The sequence below is a fragment of the Homo sapiens genome, chromosome 4 (assembly GCF_000001405.40).
Source record: "Homo sapiens chromosome 4, GRCh38.p14 Primary Assembly".
NCBI classification, from domain to species: domain Eukaryota; kingdom Metazoa; phylum Chordata; class Mammalia; order Primates; family Hominidae; genus Homo; species Homo sapiens.
The window spans coordinates 56,367,366-56,389,434 of NC_000004.12; the positions used below are offsets into that span (position 1 = coordinate 56,367,366).

The following is a 22,069-nucleotide window of genomic DNA, read 5'->3' on the forward strand; positions in this document are numbered from 1 at the left end:
ACTTTAAAGTTCATATGGAACCAAAAAAGAGCCTGCATTGCCAAGTCAATCCTAAGCCAAAAGAACAAAGCTGGAGGCATCATGCTACCTGACTTCAAACTATATGACAAGGCTACAGTAACCAAAACAGCATGGTACTGGTACCAAAACAGAGATATAGATCAATGGAACAGAACAGAGCCCTCAGAAATAATGCCACATATCTACAACTATCTGATCTTTGACAAACCTGAGAAAAACAAGCAATGGGGAAAGGATTCCCTATTTAATAAATGGTGCTGGGAAGACTGGCTAGCCATATGTAGAAAGCTGAAACTGGATCCCTTCCTTACACCTTATACAAAAATTAATTCAAGATGGATTAAAGACTTACATGTTAGACCTAAAACCATAAAAACCCTAGAAGAAAACCTAGGCAATACCATTCAGCACATAGGCATGGGCAAGGACTTCATGTCTAAAACACCAAAAGCAATGACAACAAAAGCCAAAATTGACAAATGGGATCTCATTAAACTAAAGAGCTTCTGCACAGCAAAAGAAACTACCATCAGAGTGAACAGGCAACCTACAGAATGGGAGAAGATTTCTGCAACCTACTCATCTGACAAAGGGCTAATATCCAGAATCTACAATGAACTCAAACAAATTTACAAGAAAAAAACAAAAAACCCCATCAACAAGTGGGCGAAGGATATGAACAGACACTTCTCAAAAGAAGACATTTATGCAGCCAAAAAACACATGAAAAAATGCTCATCATCACTGGCCATCAGAGAAATGCAAATCAAAACCACAATGAGATACCATCTCTCACTAGTTAGAATGGCGATCATTAAAAAGTCAGGAAACAACAGGTGCTGGAGAGGATGTGGAGAAATAGGAACACTTTTACACTGTTGGTGGGACTGTAAACTAGTTTAACCATTGTGGAAGTCAGTGTGGCGATTCCTCAGGGATCTAGAACTAGAAATTCCATTTGACCCAGCCATCCCATTACTGGGTATATACCCAAAGGATTATAAATCATGCTGCTATAAAGACACATGCGCACATATGTTTATTGCGGCACTATTCACAATAGCAAAGACTTGGAAGCAACCCAAATGTCCAACAATGATAGACTGGATTAAGAAAATGTGGCACATATACACCATGGAATACTATGCAGCCATAAAAAATGATGAGTTCATGTCCTTTGTAGGGACATGGATGAAGCTGGAAACCATCATTCTCAGCAAACTATTGCAAGGACAAAAAACCAAACACCGCATGTTCTCACTCATGGGTGGGAATTGAACAGTGAGAACACATGGACACAGGAAGGGGAACACCACACACTGGGGACTTTTGTGGGGTGGGGGGAGGGGGGAGGGATAGCATTAGGAGAGATACCTAATGCTAAATGATGAGTTGATGGGTGCAGCACACCAACATGGATGGCACATGTATACATATGTAACAAACCTGCACGTTGTACACATGTACCCTAAAACTTAAATTAAAAAAAAAAACAAATGTAAATATAAACTCCCTCCCAAAAAAAAAAGAAAAAGAAAAGATGAACCCTGACAACACAGCTAAAATTCAGAATAAGAAAAGGCACGTGCCTCACACAAAGGAAAGGACAGCCTGTCAGCTTCTATACCTCTCCTCCTTACTCAAACCAAGTCAAATGTGATCTGCTGATGACATTCCCAATAACTATTGTGAGATAAATAAAATCACCATGAAACTATATGCAATATTTGTCATGTTCTTGGAAAAGAGTAAGTTTCTATCAGTTTCTCAGAAAAATTTGATCCCAAAAAGGTTAAAAACAACTGCTAAAGTAAATTTATCTGAGATTGTGCTAAAACATCAAACAAGGGGATGAGATTTAAAGAGGTAGAATTCATTGACCTGACATAGAAGGAAAGTCTCCTTCCCTTTTAGTAACTATGAATCAAATCTATCAAGGAACTTTGCAAACATTCCGTGAGAAATATGCTCTTTGAATTTTACAGGTAAATAAAACAGTTATAGTAAAATCTTATCTAGATCCACAGAATTCATGGAATGACTCTCTAACAGATGAGAATTTATATCCCCTCACACCCAACAAGCCACACTGCTACACTCGGTTCATATATATACATGAATTAGGATGAAAAACACATTGCCTTAAAGAAGTTCAAAGTATCAAATTTTGTTTTTATAGCAGAAGTTTAATATCCTCTCAATTCTCGTTACCCTGGATAAAAATCTGATAATTTTAGTTTATCAAAATAGAAAGTGGAAGGTGGGCGTGGTGGCTCACACCTGAAATCCCAGGACTTTGGGAGTCCAAGGCGGGCAGATTGAGGAGTTTGAGACCAGGAGGCCAGGAGTTCAAGACCAGCCTGGCCATCATCACAAAATGCTGTCTCTATTAAAAATACAAAAATTAGCTGGGCGTGGTGGTACACGCCTGTAATCCCAGCTACTCAGGAGGCCAAGGCACAAGAATCTCTTGAGCCCGGGAGACAGACATTGCAGTGAGCCGAGGTCATACCACTGTACTCCAGGCTGGGCGAGAAGAGTGAGACTCTGTCTCAATTAAAAAAAAAAAAAAAAAAACAGACAATGGAAACTAATAATTAAGATGCACATATGCACACAGGTATACGAATATAACACACTATGGTCTGAATGTTTGTGTCTCCCCCTCAAATTTGTATGTTGAAATCCTAACTCTCAGGCCAGGTACAGTGGTTCACGCCTGTAATCCCAGAACTTTGGAGGCTGAGGCAGAAGGATCCCTTGAGGCCAGGAGTGAGACTGGCCTAGCCAACATGGTGAAACCCTGTCTCTACCAAAAATACAAAAATTAGCCTGGTGTGGTGGCGGGTGCCTGTAATCCCAGCTACTCAGGAGACTGAGGCACAAGAATCGCCGGAACCCAGGAGGCAGAGTGAGCCAAGATCACGCCACTTCACTGCAGCCTGGGCAACACAGCAAGACTCTGTCAAAAGAAAGAGAGAGAGAGAGAGGGACAGAGAGAGAGAGAGAAAGAAAGAAAGAAAAGAAAAGAAAAAACAAAAGAAAAGAAAAGAAATTCTAACTCTCAAGGCAATGGTATTAGGAGGTAGGGCCTTTGTGAAGTGATTAGGTCATGCAGGCAGAGACCTCATGAATGAGATTAGTGCCCTTATAAAACCCTTTCCATCAAGTGAGGACCCAATGAAAAGACCGCAGTCTAATGAATCAGCGAGTGGGCCCCTCGTGAGAGATCAAATCTCCTGATGACTTAATCTTGGACTTCCCACCTCCAGAACTATAAGAAATAAATGTCTGTTGTTTATAAGCTACCCAGTTTATGGTATTTTGTTACAGCAGCCTGAATGGACTCACACACACAATCAGGAACTATGCTACACTGTCTCATTTAATTCTATTTGAGATGGGTATTATTTCCATTTACAGATAAAACCTGAGGCTCACAGCAGTTAAACATTTAACTAAGATATCTACATATTATGATATGCATATAATATTGCTAATTCTCTAGTACTGTTAGCTACTTACAATGTAGTAACTCAAGGCTTGTGTACCAGTCATATACTTGTGTACCTGCATGACCTAATCACCAGTCAGATACACATTTAAATAACATTTTAAAAGGCCAAATTTCAAAAATACTTGTTTCTGTAGGTTAATGTAAAGTACACTGATGTAAAAATAAGAAAATCTATATTCCTAACTCGATTATAATTTAATTGACTTATACTAGTTTTTCATGAGAAACACAACATACATAGATTTTAAGACAGAAGAGGCAGCCTATCCTTCTCAAATCCAACAAATCTGAGTCAAAGTCAAGGTCCTCTAATTATTATAGTATGCACAAAATACATAATAAAAGAATTTTCTAGGCAGAATTCATTTATCTTTTTTCATTTTCAAATAAACAACAAAAAAAGTCACATCCTGAGGAGACGGCCCTTGATAATCTAACCAGATTATATTAATCCATTGTAAAGAACTACAGGAATACAAAATATTCTCTAAAACACTTAAAATATTGAAAAATGATAAACAAAACGTTCATTGCTACTAAAATGTACCTGCAAAACAGTCACTCTATGATGGGAAAAGAGAACGCTGGCTAATTTTGATGGGAGCAACTTGACGGAAGTTGGTACAATAAGCAGAGAGGCACCACTTGATAGAGCAAGAAATATTTCCACAACAGAAGGATCGAAGGTCAGAGGTGAAGCCAGAAACAAAACATCTTCTTGTGTGATGTCAAAAAGTACCCTAAGGCAAAACAGAATGCAGTTATGAGAAACGTCAAACATTCAGTAAGCACATATCCTAAAAGAGTGTTCATGTGTTTATGATGATCAAGTTTCTGAATGTTGGCCAGATTTTATTCTTCTCTCTTAAATTAGCCAAAATGGTGCTATCAAAATTCAGGAAATCTTCTTTATAAAAGAATTAACAGCTATTTAAAGCAATATCCACGTTTTACCAGACATATTTTATCATCTGTGATGACTTTTGATGTGTCAACTTGGTTTGATTGAACTACTGTCCCCGGAATTTCCTCTCTAGTATGTTTCCTGTTAGGGAAGGAGACAAGGGATATTCTCTTGAGAGCTGAAGAACAGAAGGGAGGCTGCTGCTTAGCAGCACACACGCCTTCTTCAAGCAGTTATTCAATCAAACCCTGTAGTCCCTAATCAGCTGATTTACTTAATCAAAAGGGAGATTATCCAGGGTTGGCTGGATTTACTTGGAAGGCCTTTAGAAGAAGTTTTAGGCCTTCTCTGATGAAGAGGCCCAAACAGCAGCTGGGTCTGCAATTAATCTCCCTTCTTCCCAATCTGATTTCACCTGGGACAGTCTCATGGCCACGGGATTCCAGCCTGCTTGTGATCACCCCTTCCTAACTGATCCCTATGGACTTTAGACTTGCTTAGCCAGGCCCCACAATTGTGTAAACCAATTTCTTATAATCAATCCCTGATCTAACTCCTGGTTCTGCTCCTCTGGCAGAATCCTTATTCTGTCATACTTATTCAATGATGTTTAATAGAGACTTCCGACTCCCCTTTCTATTTAGCATTTTCTTTCAGTATCTGAACAAAAAGCAGAATAAGAATATATGTGGTTAGGCTCTTATACAGCATGGATAGTCATTGTGGAGCCTATGACACTATTTTAATTTGAACACACAGACACCACTACATCTAAAAGCATCTTAATTTCAAAAAAGCTTCAAATATGGTATAAACATTTTAAAAATTATAACTATGTATATGGTGTCTCAGGTAAAATAAAAACTCATTGTGTGTTAAAGGTGTAGGGGCCGAAAGGCTGTGATACCTTTCCTCCCCATCATAAGGCTCACAGCCCACACTCTTATAAACAAAAGACAGTTTAACAACAGAAAAGCATGACAAATTTATTTAATCAAAGTTTTATGAAACATGGGAGGCTTCAGAATGAAGACCCAAAGACCCAAGGGAAAAGTGTCCATTTTAATGCTTAGATTCAATAGAGTGGACAGCTGTGTAGAAATGTGATTCAACAAAAAGGGAATGAGTAATAAACTGAGTGGGAAAATCCAGCAAGGCCTGTCCTTTTAAATTCCTGGCCTCTCTGTGTGGCATTTCTTCCTCCCACGTATAGGGCAGGACCCTTTCTGGAATGAGTCTTATGTTCTACTTTCAGACAAGGTAAGTAAGAGCAATTTCTTTACAGCCAGCTCTTACATATTAAGGTTAGAGTAATATTTCTATATTTCTAGTTTTTTTGTTTTTGTTTTTTGAGAAAAGTCTTGCTCTGTCACACAAGGTGGAGTGCAGTGGCATGATCTCGGCTCACTGCAACCTCTGCCTCCCAAGTTCGAGCGATTCTCCTGCCTCAGCTTCCCGAGTAGCTGGGATTACAGGCATGCACCACCAAACCTGGCTAATTTTTTTGAGTTTTTAGTAGAGACTGGGTTTCAACCATGTTGATCAGGCCGGTCTCGAACTCCTGACCTCAAATGATCCACCCACCTCAGCCTCCCAAAGTGCTGGGATTACAGGTGTGAGCCACCGCGCCTGGCCTCTAGGTTTTATGACTGTCTTTGAGGGAGAGGGGTTCAGTTACTATGGCCTGCCTTGGGGAGAAAGAGAAGCAAGAGAAAGAAGGGCAGGAAAAGGTCAGAAAGAGACTTTACTTCTGAAGTCCTTCCAATGTCCTTCAGTTCAAAGTACTCAGCATGCCAAAGTGCCATACGTTGGGGTATCATTTTCTGAGCCCAACAAAGGCTACCCTCAAACTTCAAGTTTTAGAGGAAGTATTCTTCACATATATTGTCTAGCTTCCTACTTAGGTATTCAGGGGAGAGCAAACTTTCTAACAGGCTTCCAACAAAGCTTAAATTCTGAGAATATTTTTAGTTTTCAATTCTATGAACAAAAATGGGCAAGGTTATGCATGCATACAGTTCATGTAGTTCCATGTAGTTCATTTCACGAAAGCAGCTTAAGATGCATTCAATATAAGAAAAGTTGAAAAAAAAGAAGAGACAGATTTTAAAGGAAGAAAAAAAGTGGAATGCAACAAACATTTAAACATATTACTTGTGAAGCTTAGGCTGGGTATCTAATATACTGTTCCTCATTTTCCCAACCACCATATGAGGCAGGTATGATTATGTGAGAACCTAACTCAGAAACCAAGTTGGTATGAAGATTATTTTAAGGTAAAGACATTTGAGGCTGGGCGCGGTGGCTCACGCTTGTAATCCCAGCACTTTGGGAGGCCAAGGTGGGCAGATACTTGAGGTCAGGAGTTTGAGACCAGCCTGGCCAAGATGGTGAAACCCTGTCTCTACTAAAACTACAAAAATTAGCCAGGCATAGTGGCGTGCACCTATAGTGGGAGGCTGAGGCAGAAGAATAGCTTGAACCTGGGAGGCAGAAGTTGCAGTGAGCAGAGACTGCACTGCTGCATTCCAGCCTGGGTGACAGAGTGAGACTCTGTCTCAGAAAAAAAAAAAAAAAAAAAAAGGACATTTGAGATTCAACAAATGCAGAAACCTTCTTGGAGCTTCCCTTATCTGACTGAAAGCAGAAACTTCAGGGAAATGAGGCTGCCATAAACTTCTTCTTCAGAGTGGTTTTACTCCCAGGAAGGCCATGAAGAAGACAGAAAGACCACTGCACCTGCATACCCAAGTGTTATCACAAACTTTCTTATCTCCTGTTTATTTTCCTGAAAACCCATTTCTCTTTCCAAAACAATTTATTTGTTCTTCCTATGAACAAATAAATTTACAAATACATTTAAATGAACTTAATAAAATGCAATTCCGTTTCTTTTGTAAACTGCTATATGCACAGGAATAAACTTTTTTTCTTAATCTGTCTTTTGTCAGTTTAATTCTCAGTCCCCTAGATACTGCGTCACAGATGGTAGAGGAAAAGCTCTCCACCCCCATTTTAAAATGGAGAAAACTGAAGTTCATGGAGGTTAAGTACCTTATGCAAAGTCAAACAAATCAACTAATTTTTAACTGTTTAAAAAATTGTTATCCTTATCCAAGCCTTTAAATTAATCCCCTGATTTGAAAGATCTATCTAAATTAGATTTCAAAATTTCAATAAAGGAAACCTAGTCCTTCCCTTTCTGGAGCTATCATTCTCTCTGGAGGTAGTGCTGCCTTTTACCAACATATGCAAGAAAACTCAGCTTTGTCTTTTTTTTTTTTAAGACAGAGTCTCGCTCTGTCACCCAAGCTGGAGTGCAGGGTCTTGCAGCTGCCCAAGTTCAATCACAGTTCACTGCAGCCTCAAACTCCTAGGCTCAGCAATCTTCCTGCTTTGGCCACTGGAGTAGCTAAGACTACAGACTTGTGCCACCATGCCCAGCTAGCACTATCTTATTAATAGGTTATTCTGGTAATATTTGGGGAGCCAGCAACAGAGATAAGATTGTTCTAATATGTGTCTGAAATTTAATACTCCCTAGCTTAGTGATCTAAGTCTAAAATAGAAAATTTAACATTACTGTTTTAATTTTTAAATTGACTACTTTAACATTTCATCTCTTTAGAATCTAATTATTTACCACCTCACTTAAGAACCTAAAAGCAAACCAAAAAAAGATTTCTAACAGGCAAATCAATTGAATGAAGTTGAAGCACAAAATAGGTATCAAGAAATTTGTATAATTTAGTCATAAATCAACCCTTCACCCCTCATTAAGCAAATGTTTGCTCCCATTTCACGGACCATTCTTACCACTGCTGGGCCAGTGCCTCTTAGTCGGCTGTCTCTCCACCTCCCCCAGATTCCTTATCTGCTTCATTTTCTTCAAGTTCCCTACATCCCCATCCCCACCTCACCTCCCACACTCTTAGGTATGACTTGGCCTTCTGCTTCATACAAAAGTTAAAACCTACTGGCTTCCTCTAACACCAAGAAATGTATTTACTTTACTATCCTAATCTTTTTGAGGCTATCAAAAAAAGAGGTATTCCACTCAGTATTTTAAATAATGCCATTCCCTCCCATCTAAATGTATCTTCCTCCCATCTAAATGTATCTTACTCCTTTGTTAATACTCCTACTACTAATTCATTATTTAAACCAACCCCTTCTACCAATTCCCCACCCTCAGCCTCTAAACCGCTCATCTTTTTTTTTTTTTTTTTTTTTTAAGATTGAGTCTCGCTCTGTCACCCAGGCTGGAATGCAGTGGTGCAATAACGGATCACTGCAGCCTTGACCTCCTGGGCTAAATCAATCCTTCCGCTTCAACCTCCCGAGTTGCTAGGATTATAGGCACAGACCACCAGGCCCAGCTAATTATTTTTAATGTTTCTTAAAGACAGAGTCCCACTATGTTACCCAGGCTGGTTTTGAACTCCTGGGCTCAAGCGATCCTCCTGCCTTAGCCTCCTAAAGTGTGGGATTACAGGCATGAGCCACTGCACCCAGCCAACCTCTCCCATCTTAAAGACAAAACACCTGTGTCCATCCCAGAATTCCTTCTTTTCCATTAAAACCAGTTTCTAGAAAATAACATTTGACTTTTGTTACCTCTATTTCGTTATCTCCTATTCTCTTATCTCCAGCCTAATGTAATCTATCTCCAATCTTGGGGATTAAGAAGTCACTAAAGACTATATTGTCGATTACAACAGACATCTTTCTCTACCAGCATTTAACCATTTCTTCTTTCCAGGCCTGCATGTGCCATCCAATACCATAGGTCCACTGAGCACTAAGAATATGGCTAGTCCACGTTGAGATGTGTAAGTATAAAATATATGCCAGATTTTGAAGATGATTAGCATAAAAAATGCAAAATATCTTACTAGTAATTTTTATATTGATTACATATTGAAGTAATGTTTTGGAGTATACTAAATTAAATAAAATATATTGTTAAAATTAACTTTGCCGGGCACGGTGGCTCACGCCTGTAATCCCAGCACTTTGGGAGGCCGAGGCGGGCGGATCACGAGGTCAGGAGATCGAGACCATCCCGGCTAAAACAGTGAAACCCCGTCTCTACTAAAAATACAAAAAATTAGCCGGGCGTAGTGGCGGGCGCCTGTAGTCCCAGCTACTTGGGAGGCTGAGGCAGGAGAATGGCGTGAACCCGGGAGGCGGAGCTTGCAGTGAGCCGAGATCCCGCCACTGCACTCCAGCCTGGGCGACAGAGCGAGACTCCGTCTCAAAAAAAAAAAAAAATAAATAAATAAAATAAAATAAAATTAACTTCACTTGATTCTTTTTTCTTCCCTTTTCATTCATTCCATTTTACTTTTGAATATTACTTAAGCATTTAAAATTACATAAAACTTAAAATGACATAAAATTACGTACATGTTTCATGAGGTTTCTATTTCTGTTTCCTCCTTTGATTTTCTAGGACTACACCCCTAAGGTTCACTTCTTCCTCTCTTTCTTGGCAAATTAAGAATGTCAACTTTGGAGATTTCTAATCTCTTGACCACATCAGCAAGTCAAACTCCACAATACTACTACAAGAGTGAACTTAACAAAATGAGAATCTTTTAATGGTTCCCCATCATCTACTGGATTAAGTTCAGCCTTCAACAGGGCATACCAGGCTCCTGATCTTTCACTGTTTCCTCAGCCCTGCTCTGACATTCTAGTAGGACAAACTCCTTCATTCTCATATAACTCTGCTAGTACCTCTGCTAGGAAAATCCTTTCTCCCTTTTTATTAATAATTAAGATGCAAAGCTTCTAATCATATCATTTGTTTGTTCCGTGTCTGGCCCTAGGCTTGGATGAAACAGGTGAAGGGCCTAGTCTGCAGAGAACTAAAGTTCAGATACAGCTGAAACAAAAAAGACTCAATTTACTTCTTAGGACTATTAATTTAGGAACAAGAGTTATAAAACCAAACGTTTTAAAATTATTTTTTTCCCTTTAAAATACAAGGTTTTTTGTTTTGTTTTGTTTTTGAGACAGTCTCACTCTGTCACTCAGGCTGGAGTGCAGTGGCATAGTCTCAGCTCACTGCAACCTCCACCTCCTGGGTTCAAGCAATTCTCCTGCCTCAGCCTCTCCAGTACCTGGTATTACAGGCACCCACCAACACGCCTGGCTGATTTTTGTATTTTTTCAGTAGAGACAGCTTTCACCATGTTGGCCAGGCTGATCTTGAACTCCTGACCTCAAGTGATCCACCCGCCTCAGCCTCCCAAAGTGCTGGGATTACAGGCATAAGCCACCACACCTGGCCTAAAATATAGATTCTGAGAAAGAGTCAAAGACTAGAACTTACCGAAAATGCTGGATATTTGGTACTATACACTTATGAGGCACTCTGACAATCTTCGGTATCCCTGTAGTCCCTGATGTATGTAGAACATAGGCTAAGCAATGCTTTAGCCTCAGATCCATGTGTTCTTCTGCTTTTTCTTCATTGACATGCTCAGAACTTATGCTTTTTATTTTTTCTTTTTCATATTTCTCTTTTCCATCATTTAGCATCAAGTTCACCTCAGTATTTTTCCAGTGAAGTCTGAAGAGCACTAGGTCATTATGTTCCACTGTAAATGTATCATAGTTCAATAATGTTTCATGAAAAGATTTAAATTTCTGTGTGAAATGGGGGACAAAGTTTACAGTATTAGTATGTTAAAAGATATTCTTCTTTATATAGAAGTAATATGAAATACAGTCATCCCTCAGTATCCTTGGGGGAATTGGTTCTAGGATCATCTCAGATACCAAAATCTGAAGATGCTCAAGTCCCTTATATAAAATGGTGCTGTATTTGCATATAAACCATGCACATCCTCCCATATACTTTAAATGATCTCTAGATTACTTATAACTAATACAAAACTATGCTAATTAATGCTATGTAAATAGTTGCTATATTTTTAAATCTGTATTAGTTTTTACTGTTGCACTGGGTTTTTTTTTTTTTCTGAATATTTTCTTTTTTTTTTTCTTGAGACAGGGTCTCACTCTGTTGCCCAGGCTGGAGTGCAGTGGTATAATCTTTATTTTTTTATTTATTTTTTTTTTTTGAGACGGAGTCTCACTCTGTCATCCAGGCTGGAGTGCAGTGGCGCAATCTCAGCTCACTGCAAATTCCGCCTCCCAGGTTCACACCATTCTCCTGCCTCAGCCTCCCGAGTAGCTGGGACTACAGGCACCTGCCACCACGCCCGGCTAATGTTTTTGTATTTTTTTTAGCAGAGACGGGGTTTCACCGTGTTAGCCAGGATGGTCTTGATCTCTTGACCTCATGATCCGCCAGCTTCAGCCTCCCAAAGTGCTGGGATTACAGGCATGAGCCACCACGCCTGACCACAGCAGTGTAATCTTAACTGACTGCAACCTCGAACAGCTGGGCTCAAGCGATCTTCCCACCTCAGCCTCTTGAGTAGCTGGAACTACAGGTGTGCACCAAAACACCCAGCTAGCTTTTTATTTTTAGCAGAGACGATGTCTCACTATGTTACCCAATCTGGTCTCAAACTCCTGGCCTCAAATGATCTCCTGCCTCAGTCTCCTAAAGTGCTGGGATTATAGGCGTGGGCCCCAAATATTTTCAGTCTGCAGTTGGATGAATCCTCGGATAGGAAACCTCTGGATACAGAGGGCCAACTGTATTCATTTACTCATTCAACATGACGTTTTTGGGGAGTGGGGGGAAGTACTTGCTGTATACCCGGGGGTAAAAAGATAAATAAATCTCCAAGAGCAAAGTGCTGTCCTTACTAACTTATTTTCAAAAACACCAGACATATACAAGCAATTATAATGCAATGCGTATGATAATAAAGCAGGCTTGAAATGTTAATGGGAACAGAGAATGCCGAACTCTGCCTAGAAGGTCAGAGATTGCTTCATGGGTAATATTTGTTATAAGTAGCTATTCTCCAAATAATAAAAATGGGCACTTCAGGCAAACAGCCAACATTGAGGATCTGACCTGGGAAAGCTGGTATGTGAACATTAAGCCTTCCAATTAAGGTAAAGAACGGGGTGGGGGAGAGGGAAAAGGTGAGGTGCGTTGTTGATAGGAGATGAGATGCAAATCCTTAATAACCGTGTACACTCAGCACTAAGGAGTTTAGATCTTAACCTGTAAGTGACAGGATCCAATTGAAGGTGGCAATAGCATAGATTAGACTCTATCAAGGACAGAATAATAAATGAGATTCTGCTAAGTGAGAACCATTTAATGAGTCTTTTGCAGTAATTCGGATATACTATATGGTCCTGAACTACTATTCTGTTACAAGAGGAGTGGTTAGAAAGGGTCTATGAGCAAAGAATAAATAAGACATGGTGACTTTCTGGATATAGAGTGAGTCTAAGAAAATTGTTGGGTTTCTGGCCCAGGTGATTTGGTGGATGGAGAAGAATTAATCCAGAAGTGAGTTTGGATGAAGAGATGCTAAACTGAATTTGTACATGTTGAAAGTAAGGTTTCTTTGAATATATCTTTTTAGGTTGACAACAACAGCTTAATGAAATATAACCTAAGTTTTCACATTAAATAAATCAACATAAATAATGAGAAAAAGGTCACAACCCAGAAGCCTACAGTGTTTTCTTTGTGTGTTTAATGTGTGTATGTATTGGGTAGGGGATGTGGTGTGGCCTGTAATATTTGAAAAATTAAAGAACTACATACGCTTCAGATCTAGCTCAAAACCATCCCTCCCCATTAAAATTCTACTATATCTACTAGGTTATGTTTACTTCACTTAGGACAATTATCACACTATGTAGATGTTATAGGTTCAGAAGTATTAACTTTTCTCTCCAACTACATTATAAAAAGCTGGAAGGCTTATATGCTAATGCCCTCCCAATCATCCTGTCCGTAGTGCAAGGTTTCTCAACTTCAACACTACTGATATTTTGGACCAGAAAATTCTTAGTGGAGTGCTGTCTTATACACTGTAGGATTTTTAGCAGTATCGCTGGCCTCTACCCACCAGATGCCAGTAGCACCCCACTTCCATCATTACAATAAAAAATATGTCTAGACATTGCCAATTGTCCCCAGTTGAGAACTACTGCTTTAGTGGATGCTGGGCATACATACAGTAGATGCTTAAAAATACTTACTGATCGTTCCTGTGTTAAATGAAGGAAGAACACTTACACCATCATCAAAATCATGGGATAGGAAGCAAGGTTTTGCTGCGCCCAACTCCTTTTTGGGTTTTGCTATGTCCAACTCCTACTGGTCATAAAGAATACCTTGACATTGACAATTAATACTGATACTCAGCTACCTTTTATAAAATTTTCACTAAGATTGCTAAGAAAAATAAACATCACATCCCCATTTCAGTTTTGCTTACTTATGAACAATGCAATAACCAATTTGAGGAGTAGAGGAAATTTCGGCTACACACTAATAAGTAATTATTTTAAAAATATTTATTAACCAGACCAGGTGTGGTGGCTCATGCCTGTAATCCCAGCACTTTGGGAGGTCGGGGCAGGCAGAACACTTGAGGTCAGAAGTTCAAGACCAGCCTGGCCAACATGGTGAAACCTTGTCTCTACTTAAAAATATATATACAAAAATTAGCCGGGTGTGGTGGCATGCACCTGTAATTCCAGCTACTTGGGCAGCTGAGGCACAAGAACCGCTTGAACCTGGGAGGCGGAGGTTGCAGTGAGCTGAGATCGCACCACTGCCCATTGCACTTCAGCCTGGGTAACAGAGTGAGACTCTGGCTCAAAAAAAAAAAAACCCTTTGAGTCTCTAGAAAGTCCCCCATATACCTCAAGTTCTTGACACTTCTCACACACACACACACACACACACACACAGTTGGGGGGGGTGAAAGCAGGGAATGCATTTAAGTTACCCCAATACAAACTGGCTCATATAGAAAATGGGCAAAAACAGGCTAAATTGAATATATTTTTATAATGTTCTTCCCCTTTAGTAAAACAATATTTTATAAATAATAAATAAACAATGAAGCATGGGCTGCATCTTGCTGAAGATATAACACCAATTCTTGCCCCAAAAACAGAGTTTCTTGGTTATATCTTTGGTTGGCAATCATTTAAAAATAAAAAAACAATAAATTTACTTTTCTGGAAAGATCTCCTCTAAGTACCAGTCTCTTTTTCAAAATGCAAGCTTAGTTATAATTCTTCAGTGTTGCTGACCAATGTAATTGCCATAAATATGAAAGTTCCAAGTATTATAAAATTTTGCAGTATAGGAAATACTTTGGAAAGAGAAATTCAAAACAATGCATAATATATTATTATAAGGCTAACAGATCTGTTCATACTACAGAATAGTGGCTCACAATGGAGTGTGAGGGGTGGAGAGCCCCTCTGGGGGACAATTGGCAATGTCTGGAGATTTTTGGTTGTTATGACTGGGAGGTGCTACTGAGGTCTAGCGAGTGGAGGTCAAATATATTGCTAAATATCCTATAATATACGGAACACTCCTCACAACAATTACTCAACCCTAAAAATGTCATAGTGCAAAGACTGAGAAACCTTGCCACATTTAGCAGACTTAGGAATCCAGATGGGAGAAGGAAGGAATGTTTCAATTGAAATAAATGTAATACAGGCAAAAAACAATTGAAACATCCAGACTTACATTAATTTGTTTTTTTTCAACAAGGATATACTTTAGATTACATTTTTTCATAAAATGAGTTGATAATGACGGTGGTGAATCTGGCTCGATAGGTACATAAGCAGCCGGGACTTGGAGAATTCTAAAGAAAAAAGTACACAGTCAGCATAGAATGTCTGTTGATTTAGTATTTGTTTAAGCATTTCTATTTCTCTATGCACTTTATTTATTTTTTGTAGCAGCATAAAAATGGTTTCCGGAGCACTTTATTGCTGATCAGAAATTTCCAATGTTTTCACTGACACATAGTTGGTAATAAACGCTGTCATTTTAGCCGGGCACGGTGGCTCACGCCTGTAATCCCAGCACTTTGGGAGGTTGAGGCGAGCGAATCACCTGAGGTCGGGAGTTGGAGACCAGCCTGACCAACATGGAGAAACCCTGTCTCTACTAAAAATACAAAATCAGCCGGGCGTCTGCAATCCCAGCTACTTGGGAGGTTGAAGCAGGAGAATTGCTTGAACCCGGGAGGCGGAGGTTGCGGTGAGCCGAGATCACGCCGTTGCACTCCAGCCTGGGCAATAAGAGTGAAACTTCATCTCAAAAATAAATAAATACATAAACACTGTCATTTTATCTTTTCTTAATGAAAATCCTGAGTATTTACTATGTTAAATTCTTATCACTTAATATAGAGAAATACAAGATTTTTTTAAAGTTAAGCATTTTAAGTAGTTTCAGGTATACTTTAAGGACACTAGATCTTTGCACATAGTAAATTCTCAATAAATTTCGTCAATAATTGAGTGAAAGTAAATTTTTGTTGTTGTTTTTATTTGTTTTATAGAGATGGGGTCTTGTGAAGTCACCAGGGTGGTCTCGAACTCCTGGCCTTAAATAATACTCCAGCCTCAGCCTCTCAAAGTGCTGGGATTTACAGGTGTGAGCCACTGTGCCTGGCCAAAAGTAAATTTTTGAACATCTTTTGCTTTATATTTATATAATTAATTTACTAAGACACATATTATAGAATGAATAAACTATTTCTTTGGCAGTTTATACTTACTGCAGAGTTCTAGAATAGAAATCACTATATGAGGATAACATTCTAGAACAATTTAAATGATTGAACATTTTGCAAATATTTGTTGGAATAGTGTCTTCTAATGGGTTCATATTTCAATCTATATCAACTATTATCCAAAACTCTAATTTACTGATTTATTGAATACCTTAGTGCCTCAAATTTCAGTTGCGGACAAAAAACATAGTCATGTTATCTGTGAAATCCTGTTTTCTTTTATCTAACAACAAAGTGTTATAAATTGTTATAATTGTTTTCCTTTAACAGATTAATGAAGCCCTTACATTTTGGAGATACTTATACGTTCTATTAGTGAAAGCTTCTAGTCTTTCCTAAATAAGCTCAGAATAATTAATTTAAATAATATAAAAATAATACTGGGGAAATGCAAACTTCTTTAGTCTCTCTACAATTGACCAAACAATATAGAAAAGTCCAATAGTAAACAGAACAATAACTTGCAATATACTCTATTAAAAATTTACATTAGCTTGGAGTAACATCAAATTTACAGTTCTAAAAAATATTACCCTAAAATCCAAGAGGGTAAGTCTATCCCAGGTTGGCAGTAGAGACCAATTTCCCGAATTCCTTGAAAGTCACAGTGTAACAGCAGAAAATTTGATAATTCAGAAGCAGCATTAACCACAGTCTTGTAGGTGTAGTAAACTGGAAGCTGGTTGTTGCATTCATCAAAACATACAGCTACTCTGTCCATATAACAGGAGGCAGCCTTATGCACCAATTCCTGAAGAGTCATTTCACTGAAGTTTATCTAAACATCAATTTGTAGCACAGAACCCTGTGTATATACAGAAGTGTTAGGGGGAGAGGGAGTTTTAGAGAGCTCGGTGGAGGGACAGGGAAAAACTTCTCTACAATAATATCTCACAAAAATAATTATATCAAAGATATATAAATGAAGAATCTCTGAACTTATGAAATTATGGTAACTTTACTGAGGACAATGAGGTTGAAAATTAACTTGATACATCAACCTATGCTGGGTCAGAGCATCAAAAAAATTTGGGAGGGCAGTGGTATACACAGATGAAAATGAAGCAGGTAAAAATGGAGACTTCTCTCTCAACGGACCACAATGTAAATATGAAATATATAAAAAATTAATCAATAAAATCAAATTTAAAGGACCCCACACTTAATTTTTTTTTACTTTCCTTCAGTAACTGTTACAGATTTGTTAAGATAGAGTAGTCAAAATCTTGTATGGTGACTTTAAAATTACTAATGTGGCCGGGTGCGGTGGCTCACACCTGTAATCCCAGCACTTCGGGAGGCCGAGGTGGGTGGATCACTTGAGGTCAGGAGTTCAAGATCAGCCTGGCCAACATGGTGAAACCCTGTCTCTACTAAAAATACAAAAATTAGCCGGGCAAGGTGGCATACACCTGTAATCCCAGCTACTCTGGAGGGTGAGGCAGGCGAATCACTTGAACCCAGGAGGCAGAGGTTGCAGTGAGCCAAGACGGCACCACTGCACTCCAGCCTGGGTGACAGGGCAAGACCCCATCTCAAAATAAATAAGTAAATGAAATAAAGATAAAATAAAATGACTAATGTAAATAAACTTTGCTTTTAAATTCCAGTAGGAGCTAAACTCAGATGAAAGCAAAATCAATCTTTGACAGAAGAAAGCAAAAAACCCTATTCCTATTCATTCAGTTCTAGACAACTATATATAAAAACAGTGTTTATTACTATACTATTAATATTTTACAGAAGTCATACTTGTATAATTGTCAAGAAGTAAACTCTTCATACTGTATAGTTTATTTTTAAATTGCCAATAAGTTCACTTAGACTGAAAATATAATATTACAACTCAATAAAGCAGTATATCAATGCAATGTTCTCTGGGTTTCTTAATGCAGATTATATTAAAAGATTCGAAACAGTATTTCAAGAAAGAAACACTCGGGATCAACGGTAAAAAAAATTCACAGTGTTTCCTTAAAGGTGAAAGTTATTTTTTTCCCTCTCTGAACTCTGTTTTCCATATTTTAAAGCAATTAAGACTTACCAAGTAGCCTGCTTCAGTAAAGTTTTTGTTTGTTTTTGTGACAGTCTCGCTCTGTTCCCCAGGCTGGAATGCAATGGCGTGATCTCGGCTCACTGCAACCTCTGCCTCCCAGATTCAAGCGATTCTCCCACCTCAAGCTCCCGAGTAGCTGGGATTACAAGTGCGCGCTACCATGTCCAACTAATTTTTGTTTTTGTTATTTTTTTTTAAGTAGACACAGGGTTTCTCCATGTTGGCCAGGTTGGTTTTGAACTCCTGACCTAAGTGATCCACCTACCTTGGCCTCCCAAAATGTTAGGATTACAGGCGGAGCCACCGCGCCCGGCCGAGTCAAGTTTTCTTTTCTTTCTTTTTTTTTTTTTAATTTATTCACACCTATTTGAATTGATTTCCTGACTCAAAATTTTCATTTATATCAACTAATTAACATCAATTAGGAAAAAGAAATCCTAAAGAGAGTAAAATGAACCAATAACTGCCAAGACCCATAAGTTTGAAAATGCTGTGATTTCTAAATATACAGTTTAAACATATAAGGCAACTTTAGTACTTACATTATTTATTTTTAGTAGGCATTTCTATAAATATTAGCTCTTTTTAATGCACAAGATACAATTTTAAGCTTTCCTCAGACATACAATGATCATTATGTAAATATAAGGGAGGCTTTCTGCAGCAGGCGCTTAAATTATGAGGAATGAGTTCATTTCGCAACATACAGGTAGCGCAGAAGGGTACCTACACATCTATACGATAATTAAGATGTTTCTTTCCATTTTCCCAATGGTTGCTACAGACATTTAAGGTAAAATCCATTCTTCTTGTCTCAGGTTTTCATTTTCATTCATTGAATCACAAATAACATTCTCTGCAGTAGAGAATACTAAACTTATTAATGCCCAAATGTTTGAGACCTTAAAAAGGAAAAAAAGGCCGGGCGCGGTGGCTCACGCCTGTAATCCCAGCACTTTGGGAGGCCGAGGCGGGTGGATCATGAGGTCAGGAGATCGAGACCATCCTGGCTAACAAGGTGAAACCCCGTCTCTACTAAAAATACAAAAAATTAGCCGGGCGCGGTGGCGGGCGCCTGTAGTCCCAGCTACTCGGGAGGCTGAGGCAGGAGAATGGCGTCAACCCGGGAAGCGGAGCTTGCAGTGAGCCGAGATTGCGCCACTGCAGTCCGCAGTCCGGCCTGGGCGACAGAGCGAGACTCCGTCTCAAAAAAAAAAAAAAAAAAAAAAAGGAAAAAAAAAAGCAAACTCTGGTAAGCAGATTTTACATGTAAAAGGAATAAATTTACTTGCTACAACTGTAGAAGCTGCTATTTAGTCAACAAAGATCTTAAGAGTGTCAGCAAATTCAATTGCTATGGGGCCTCTCTCTAGGCCACTGGCTGTTTTAAAAATGGATAAATAATCTAGAAACTTTATTTTCCCAATTCCCCGGCTTCTAAATTTACGGTATGCAACGAGTAACAATGCAATTTACAGCTTCCTAAACATTTCTTCATTGCTCTTCGAAACCACTCTAGGGGGTAGCTGAGCGCGGAGCACACTTATTTCCATTTGAATGGAGGGGCGGAGGCTAGTGACGCAGGAGTGTACACACAGGTCAGGGTTAGTCTGCACCACACCAGCACGCCAGACCCCGATGTATCAAATCCGAGGTCAGGCAGTGGTCCTGAAGCTGAGCAAATGTATGTGGAAGCAGGCTCAGGCCTAGCGGCACTTCGCCTCCTTCACACAGACCCCCGCCGGACACCGCGCCCTGCCGCGACTCACTTAGCAAGTCTCGCGGATTAGGTTTGATCGCATTCGGCCCTTTCCCGGATAGCTCGTCGCGGATACTTCTCACAGCGAAGCAGCAGCTCCCAGAAGCCGTAAAGCTATCCCAGAGCGAGGCACCATACGTAAATCTTCCGCGTCGCTACGTGACGTCAGTGCGAGCGACCCCGGGCCGGCTGCGTGGAGCTGGCGCTGCCTCTCCTGAAGCCGAGGCGCTAACTTGAGTGAAGAGGTCTATAGGCTTTTTCACTTTTGGTTATCTGCTCAGGCGCTCCTTGGGGTCGCGCATGGTCTCGGACAGGGTTTGCAAGGACTTCGGAGCTAACCAGTTTGGAGCCATAACCCTTTCGTACTTGCCAAAAAACTCTGGGCAAGACTCTTGAATTTTGAGCCGCAGTATTCTCGTTCATAAGGTGAGAATAAAAACATCACCTAGGGTTGATGTGAAGAGAGATGAAATCATTGTGAAATAGGAGAGTTATTGCTTTCAACCAATGACATTTTCTGGAAACGTGCTGGAGATATGGCTGCAGCAGTGACGCCTGCAAACGACGTTCCTGTCATCATGATGCTGACATTTTAATTGGGAAGCAGATTGAAACGATAACTAAGGAATTTGACAGGAGCATTTAGTAGGACCTGTAAAGAAATTAAAGCAGGTCCGAGGTGGAGTTTTGTAAACTATATGCCTGAATAGAACTTTCTGTTTCCAAGGGAATTGTTACAGTTGGAGACATGTCAATTATTACAATAAGCGTCAAGGGCAATAACAGAGGTGTTTTAAAGCTACTGTCTGGTGGCAGAATAATCGGGATTTTTTTGTTTGGGGGGTTTTAGCCGGGGGAGGGACTGCGAAGACAGCTCTGCATCAAAACAGTACGTGAGAAAAAAGCATAGGACGCTCTCGCAGCCGTAGTTGTTGGTGACAAGAAACTGTGCTTCTAATCTAAGCAAAAAATATCTCCACATGCCAACTATACTTTTCCAAGATGTACCATGGACTACTCAAACTAACACAGCCTTATTTATGTATTTAGGTTGGAAGTGGGCAAAAGTGTATCTTGTCTATGTTTCTATGTTTCTACGTTGGGATGACACCATCATCCACCCAGCCAGACAGTTATCAACCTTCCCACTTTCTTAACCTCTTACATCCGATTAGACCCTATGTCCTCTAGTTCTCAGTCTTGAGACCAGCACCCAGCTGGCTACATCAGAATTGCCGGTGGTGATGTTTTAGAAGATTCCAAATTCCTGGACTCCATCCCCGGAGGTTCATCCCCTAGTTTTCTAGTGAGGGGCCTAGAACCTGCGTTTTTTAAGTGTCATGTTCATCGCCATTACTGCTACTTTAGTTCAGGTCTTCTTGGTCAGCTTTTTCCTAAAACGTTTTCAGTTTTGTTTGCCTCTGATTGACTCTGAATTGCTGCCAAAATGATGTTTTATTATTCCAGTATCATCATCCAACTCTCTGATATTAATGATACCTTTTTTAAAGTTTTTCTTCCCTTGCAGTATCTATTTCCCTCAAGTTTCCTTTTTTTTTCTTCTGTTGATTTTGTGCTCTATCTTTCACATTAGAGGCTTTCCTAGGATGTCTGGTGGTCCTTATCTGCTCATATGTAAGTGGGGGTATATTTAAAAGTTGATTGGAAGCTGTTGAGCCCATGGGACGTTTGTTGAAAATCAAGTGGGAGAGGAGGGGTATGGAGGCTGCGGTATGTCTCAGAATTTAGTACAATTTTCACTTAATTCTCTTTGTTTTAGGTGCCTGATGTCCTCCATTACAGAGACCCCGTTTTACTCCTGAGCAATAAAAAAAGGCTTCAGAATAAGGCGGGGGCCGGGGGTGGCATAAAGGATATAACACTCTCCTAAATGAACTTCCAGTCCTTTTAGGTACCCTCTTCACTTCTACTTCCTGAAGCCAGTTTCTTAGTTTTTTAGGGGGTTCTGTGATACAAATAGAATTGCTTGTTGGTTTTGCTCACTGGGGGTTTAGAATTCAGGTTTTTCAAGTCAACTGAGCCCTTTGCTATTGATTCCAGAATTTCATTTCCATTATTCCTT

General features: G+C 39.5%; 1 protein-coding gene across 14 annotated transcripts in view, besides 5 other annotated features; it reads right to left on the reverse strand.

Moving 5' to 3' along the window:
* Window positions 1-20,126, reverse strand: part of AASDH (aminoadipate-semialdehyde dehydrogenase) — a 49,202-nt gene extending 29,076 nt beyond the window's left edge. For 9 of the 14 annotated variants that reach the window (NM_001323899.2, NM_001286671.2, XM_017007743.3 and 6 more), the window contains exons 1-5: window positions 19,997-20,126; window positions 16,705-16,976; window positions 15,112-15,232; window positions 10,783-11,099; window positions 4,086-4,278 (exon numbers count right to left, since the gene is read on the reverse strand). Coding sequence is in view for 11 of the 14 variants with exons in the window: in NM_001286671.2 (NP_001273600.1) it covers window positions 4,086-4,278; window positions 10,783-11,099; window positions 15,112-15,232; window positions 16,705-16,934 (861 nt within the window). In the remaining 3 variants the exon portion in view is untranslated. Of the gene's footprint in view, window positions 1-4,085; window positions 4,279-10,782; window positions 11,100-15,111; window positions 15,233-16,704; window positions 16,977-19,996 lie in introns of those variants that run through there. The other 5 variants (NM_001323893.2, NM_001286669.2, NM_001286668.2 and 2 more) reach the window with 4 other exon arrangements.
* Window positions 19,544-20,051: an enhancer, noted in NCBI's record as "NANOG-H3K27ac-H3K4me1 hESC enhancer chr4:57253075-57253582 (GRCh37/hg19 assembly coordinates)". NCBI's record gives its function as "activates a minimal SCP1, AML or CMV promoter by ChIP-STARR-seq in primed H9 embryonic stem cells {active_cell/tissue: H9 hESC(primed)}" and the evidence as "EXISTENCE:reporter gene assay evidence [ECO:0000049][PMID:30033119]".
* Window positions 20,021-20,390: an enhancer, noted in NCBI's record as "active region_21577". NCBI's record gives its function as "activates an Ori minimal core promoter by ATAC-STARR-seq in GM12878 lymphoblastoid cells {active_cell/tissue: GM12878}" and the evidence as "EXISTENCE:reporter gene assay evidence [ECO:0000049][PMID:35858748]".
* Window positions 20,021-20,558: a biological region, named in NCBI's record as "NANOG-H3K27ac-H3K4me1 hESC enhancer GRCh37_chr4:57253583-57254089".
* Window positions 20,052-20,558: an enhancer, noted in NCBI's record as "NANOG-H3K27ac-H3K4me1 hESC enhancer chr4:57253583-57254089 (GRCh37/hg19 assembly coordinates)". NCBI's record gives its function as "activates a minimal SCP1, AML or CMV promoter by ChIP-STARR-seq in primed H9 embryonic stem cells {active_cell/tissue: H9 hESC(primed)}" and the evidence as "EXISTENCE:reporter gene assay evidence [ECO:0000049][PMID:30033119]".
* Window positions 20,421-20,470: an enhancer, noted in NCBI's record as "active region_21578". NCBI's record gives its function as "activates an Ori minimal core promoter by ATAC-STARR-seq in GM12878 lymphoblastoid cells {active_cell/tissue: GM12878}" and the evidence as "EXISTENCE:reporter gene assay evidence [ECO:0000049][PMID:35858748]".